Source organism: Homo sapiens, chromosome 7 (genome assembly GCF_000001405.40).
Source record: "Homo sapiens chromosome 7, GRCh38.p14 Primary Assembly".
Lineage (NCBI taxonomy): Eukaryota > Metazoa > Chordata > Mammalia > Primates > Hominidae > Homo > Homo sapiens.
In genome coordinates this window covers 159217546-159223953 of record NC_000007.14, presented here as the reverse complement: position 1 = coordinate 159223953, position 6408 = coordinate 159217546, and positions in this window count along the sequence as shown.

Below are 6408 nucleotides of genomic sequence, written 5' to 3'. Positions count from 1 at the left end.
TGGTAGTTTGTGTTTTTTTTCCAAAAAGTACTTTTCCATTTCATCTAAGTTATCAAATTTGTTGGCATACAATTGATTTTAGTCTTACTTTATAATCCTTTTTTATTTCTGTAAAGTTAGTAGTAATGTATCCTATTTCATTCTTGATTTTAATAATTTGAGTCTTCTTTCTTTTTCTCCTCTTCAGTCTTACTAAAAATGTGTCAATTTTCTTGATCATTTCAAAGAACCAACTGTTGGTTTCATTTATCTTCTCTATTGCTATTCTATTCTCTATTTATTTTTGCTCTTATATTAATTATTCTGTTTTCTGCACTTCTTTTTTATAATTTCTTAATGTCAAATGTGGGCTTATTCACTTGACCTTTCTTCATTTTTAACATAGATGTTTAACAGTTATAAATTTCCATCTAAGCACTGCATTAGCTACATTCCATAAGTTCTGGTGTGTTATGCTTTATTTTATTTTATACTGTCTTTGATAGATGTTTTGAGGTCATAAAACTGTTGCTTCTGTAGTATTTTTAAAGAAGCAAAAATACCGATTTGTCTGTAAGCTAAAGCTCTAAGGTCTGGCTGTGGGGCTTCTGCAATGCATTGCACACATTGTACTGAGAGTTCGTGTCTTTGGTTTGAGCCTTTAGATTCTGGGGTCTGGACAAATGGCCATAGTGAGGACTGGGAACCTAAGTGTGGCCATGATGCCTGGCCCCATCCTCCCTGCCCTAACTGTGCCTACTGGCCATGCTGGAGGGGTCAGACCCTCCAGGAATTCACAGCCCTGTCTCTTTCCCAGGATCTGCGTCTGGTACATAACAATTAAAATTAGCAACATCCTAAAAATAAGGGTTACCAACATTAACATTATAATTAATGTATGTAATTAAAACTACTATATAAAAGAGAAATCCTTTTGTATGCAAAGTGTACAAGGAAAATTGGGTGTGTTTTTGGTAAGGAAGATTCAAAGAAAGGCATGAGAATGTGGTGTTTATTGAGAAAAAATAATTTTATCTAGTTTAGAAGTTATGTAAATGTTTCAAATTGAAGGGGAAATGATATAGATAAAACTAAATAAATATAGAAAGTTTGGGAAAAAACTTTTAAGAGGTTATAAAAGGTTTATGAAAATCTTATGTATTCAAAAACTGACAGGGGTTGGGTTGATTTGTTTATAAGGTTTTATTAAAATTAGTTTTAGTATTAATAATACACTGATGCAATGGTAAAATCTGGTTTTCTCTTTTGAACGAGATTTTCATGTAGGAAAAGATTTTTACTCACCTTTTGAGTAAACTTTAAAGAGGGGGGGAAGGAGAGATTGACTTTATTAGGTCTTTTGATTGTTTGGAAAACTGAATCTCCTCTCTCTCAAAGAGTAAAAGTTTTGGCTTTTTAAATTTTTTGAATTATCACTTTGACTAAATGAATGACTATTATTTTACAGCGACTTATGATCTCACTTTGGTCAAGTATTGTAAGTCTTCCTTATTTTAATATCAGATGTTTTAAACCTTTGATATTTGACAAACTTCAAAATCAAATTTCTAAATTCAGTCTTTTTGACTTCAAACTTACATTTTGAACATTAGAGCCCTGGAAATCCAAGAGAGACATATTAGACTTACTTTATATGTTAAAATTATACAGAAAATATTGTCAAATAAGTGGTGTTTAACTTTCTTTGAGTTGTATTTGTATAAATGTGTTGTTAATGCATTCCAGAATTGTATGAGATTCCTAAATTTCTGATGTCTTAGTATATGTTATCAATTATAATTATGGTTGTTATGTTAAATTATTGTAGGCCACAGAAATAACCAAAGTTTATTGTCAATTATGCCTTTAACCATGACCATAATAAGTCTTGTCCACAGTTACTCAATTCTCATGTATTTTTCTGAAAACTTTTTAAGCAATTATAACCCTAAAGTGTTGAGTCTTCAAGGAAGTTCACAAAAAAGATGGAAAAGATAAGCACTCTTGAACACCAGTTTCTGGTAACTTTAAAGTAATGTTATTTGGACTGGGTAAGAATTCCCAGAACTCTAATAAAGAAACTAACTGGTTTATAAAACTATTAACCCAAGCAGGACAATAATTAATTGAATTCCAAGAAAATACTTTGCCAAATTTTCATGCTAAATCAGTCAGTACTGATATTGTTAAGATATGCAATTTGAATATACTTTATGTTCCAAATCAAATTACCTATGATAACCCAAGTAATAAACAGTACTATGCATTTGCATTGGAGTAACAAAATTAGTACTTAAGACAATATAAATCCAATATTTAGCATGGGCTCATGGAGAACCTGGGTGGCCTCCTGGTTCTTCCTGAGTCCTTAAAGGTTTTATTATTAAAAGCTCTGTACTCCATGACTTGTCATAGAAGAGATAAAAGGATCTAAATAGAAAATATATGTATATATTAATGTGGTGACTTCTAAATTCCTAAAATGGTTTATAACCGATGTTTGGTTTGTCAAATCCATAATCCTGAGAAGACAATAAAAAATTTAGGTAAATTTTGGTACCTGATATGCCATTTAAACATTTATAGAGGGATTCCATTTAATTGCTATTTTCAGTGCATGTTTACTGGTTGTATAGAAACCTTTGCATGAAAGAAGTCTGATACTTCAGTAGCGAAAAGCTACACACACTAGTAAATGTGTTTCCTTCATGGGACATTCCTGGATAAATATTTAATGATAGAAGTACTTGTTTCAATGGGTGAGTTGTAAAATGGTTAGGTAAGGTATTACAGATGCAATAGTATCAGGCAAAGCTAACTGAATCAACTGGATTGCCTTGGTTAAAGGTATTACAGATTGATGACAATCAGGTCCGCTTCTAGTGGAGAACACAAGTTGACCCTTTATGAAGTAGTCACTGGAAGGCCTGTGCCCCTAATAATAAATCTCATATTTTTTGCTCCTAAACTCTGACTTGTCTAAATGCAGTTAAACTGTCATGCATTATGCCAAAGTATATTTTCACCAGGTGAAGGAAGCTTTCTACGGTCCACTGATGGAGAACAATCAAATCCTCATGATCTAGAGCCTGGAGATTGGGTCTTCAAATAGTGACATCAGAGAAAGACTGTACTTGCCATCCACACTGCAGCGAAAGCACTGGGGTGTCAAACCTTGGGTCTGTAATCTTACAACTCAGAAGGTCCCCTCCAGACTCTTGAACAGTACACCCATTGTTGATTTTATGGTAAAGATAACCAAAGAAGTTTCTCCCCCAAAGTAGACACATTCTAGATGTGGATAGCTTTCCCAAATTCATGGATCTAGACTCCTCAGCCATCAGGAAACGTACCCCTCTTTCTTTTCCTTATGCCTCTGTGAACAATAGAACTTGGAAAGGGGTCTTGTGTGCATCCACAGGGTATACTTTTATTTGTGGTGGATTTAACGGCCAGCCTTATACATGGGCAAACTTATGCCTCGATGGATGGAAGATGAAGGGCTAATGCAGGCTAGGAATTTTAATGGTACTTTTGTTGCTCTAGTCAGACAGAATCAGAACATTGGCCCACTCCTCTTAATCTACATCAGATGTCAAAAAGAGCACTGCCAGGAGGCCTTCCTCTTTCTGGGTGGGCATCATTTTTAAGTCTCCTTTATCATGATTTAAAGTAAATGAGGTAATAATTAGAAATTTATCCCTCATAATAGGTTCTGGCAGATTCCACTACAAAGGCCATGGTTGTACAATAGGCTTGTTTAAATTCTCTTTTTCACTATAATTCTTATGTGTACTTCTAAGAAAACTAAAATCATAGTATTTCAAATACTATGGATGATTCAACAAGTGCCAGCAGCTACATAGATCAATGACTTGGTTGAGGTCTGATTTTTTTTGGCCACTCTGTGATGCCATCCCAATTTGGCTTTTGGGTGCTCTTAAAATCCCTCACCGAGATGTATTCTCTTTCTTCTCAATGTTGACAAGGCTATTTGGGAATAAGTCTTCCCATAAACAAGGACATCTTGACACTCAGACTTTGATCATCGATGCTTTCAAGAAGAAAGGTTTTTGATCAAAGAGGGAAAATGAGAATGTGTGTGTGGAAAGTATGTGTATATATGTGTGTGTATATATTTATATGTGTGTATATGTGTAGAAATATGCCTTTTATCTGAGGAATGGGAGCCCTCTTAAACTACTAGGCCTGAAGAGGCATTAAAATGAGACAGCAGTCACGTCCTACTTCCCCCAACCCTTGAGCTATGTAATCGTCTCTTTAAACTGCTTGTATTGCCACATATAAATATAAATTAACCTAACTATGCCACATGCCAGACACCATAACCCACATCCTATAGCTCAACAATGTATAGCCAATCACTAATCAATGTTATTTCTGTAAACCAATAAGAATTCCTGACAAAAACTGTATCAGCCCACCACTTGTCCCCCTTTTTGTCTTTAAAAATCTGCTTGTAACAAAGACTGAATGAAGTACTCCCCAAGGCAACTTGGAAGTGTGTCCCAGGCAGCTGTCCTCAAACGTGGCCCAAGTTAACTCTCTATATTAATTTTGCTTCAGCTTCTTCCTTCAGGTCAACAGCTAATATACTGAATTTTTTATTTCTATCATTCTATTTTTCAATTTCAAAAGTTTTCTTTGGCTCTATTTTACAATTTCTATGTGTTTATTAATATTCTCTATTTGATGAGACATAATTCATGTACTTTTCTTTAGTTCTTCACACCTGGTTTACCTTAGTTCTTGGGCATATTTATAATAGCTGATTTAATGCCTTTCTCCACTAAATCCAATATTTCTTTCCTCAGAGAAAGTTTCCATTGACTGTGTTTTCCTGCTTTGGGCCAAATTTTCTTTTTATTTGGAAGTCTCTTAAGTTTTGTTGAAAACTAAGCATTTTAAATAATATAATGTAGCAACTCTGGAAATCAGAACACTCCCTTCTTCACAGAGGCTGTTCTGTCTGTTTGCTATTTGTTTTGTGACTTCCTGGGCTAATTCTGTGGAGACTGTGATCTCTGTTGTTAAGTGGCCACTGGAGTCTCAGTTGGTTTGGAGGTCAGCTAATCACTGAACATAGATATCCTTAAATGTGTTGAGTCTTCCCGCCGCTGCCGTGGGGCTCTGTTCGGTGGGGGTGATATTTCCTTACCCACCTGTCAGGCTGTTTACATCCCTGTCTTCTGCATCGCTTCCTGCCTGAGGCAATCACGAGGTAAAAGACTTGGACCCCTGCAGCACTCTCGTAGGCCTGTGCAACCCTGCACCTGTACAGGACTCTATTCTGGGGATTAGCTTGGAACTTTTCAAAGCCCCTTCTGGGCATCTCAGTCTTCAGTCCTCAGATTGTCCTTTTTTTTCTTGTCAGCCTTTTTGTTCCTTTGCTCCTAATGCTAGTGTTGCCTCAGGCATCTGTCTGTCACTGATTTTTTTTTTTTCAATAAATGCCACAGGGGAAAAGCTGTCCACACTGACTAAGCTCTGAGTCAGGTCAAGTAAAGACAAGCCCTTGAGTGGAGGTTTCCAGGGAACTTCCAGACATGTCTGTGAAAGGAAAGTAAAATCTTGGGACCCCAAACTCACTATGCCAAAGGGAACATTGAGCATGGGTACTGAGTCATGTAAAAAAGGAAACTGCTTTCCTTTTGTTCTCAAACAGATGGCTGCAACATCGAAGGCTGCATAGCTCCCCAGGTGGCCTCCATCACAAATTGCTCACAAGGAAATTCCTTGTAGGCCCTCAAATCTTTGATAATATATATTCCCCCTATAAATGAACCGTAAAACAGAGTTGTGTTGAATCTCACCCTGACAATGTAAATTAACAGCTTGTCTCACAGGTGTGGGACAAAGACAAGACTAGAAATTATTCCTCCACCCACCCTGAGGTAAATGCATATTTGACCTCTTCCTTACACTATACTTACTTCATCTTATGCAAAATGTAGACCTATGGACCATGAGATGAATGCATAGTTGACTTTTTCCCCACTCCTCTCTTTCCACGTGTCAAATGTGGATTCAGCAGGCACTAATCAGGGCCTCACAAGAATGCAACTGCTTGCCTCACAACCTAACTCCTGCTCTTTTCTTCTTAATTCCTTTCCCTCCCAACCACTCTTTCACCCATAAATACTGAAGTCCTCAAAACTCTCTTTGGAAAAAGCACAGGCCACAGATCCTACTGTAACTTGTTTTCCAGGCATTTCCCCAACTTTGGCAAAATAAACCTTCAAAACTACTGACATCTGCCTCAGACACTTTTTAGTTTACATATCCCATGTCCAATCCCAGAGTACCTGAGGACAGGAGCTGGGGAGCTCAGACCGATGCTACCCCTTCTAGTGGCTGGGAGGCTGCTAATTTCCACAGCAATCATGATTGTGTGGCTGCCAGTTTTCA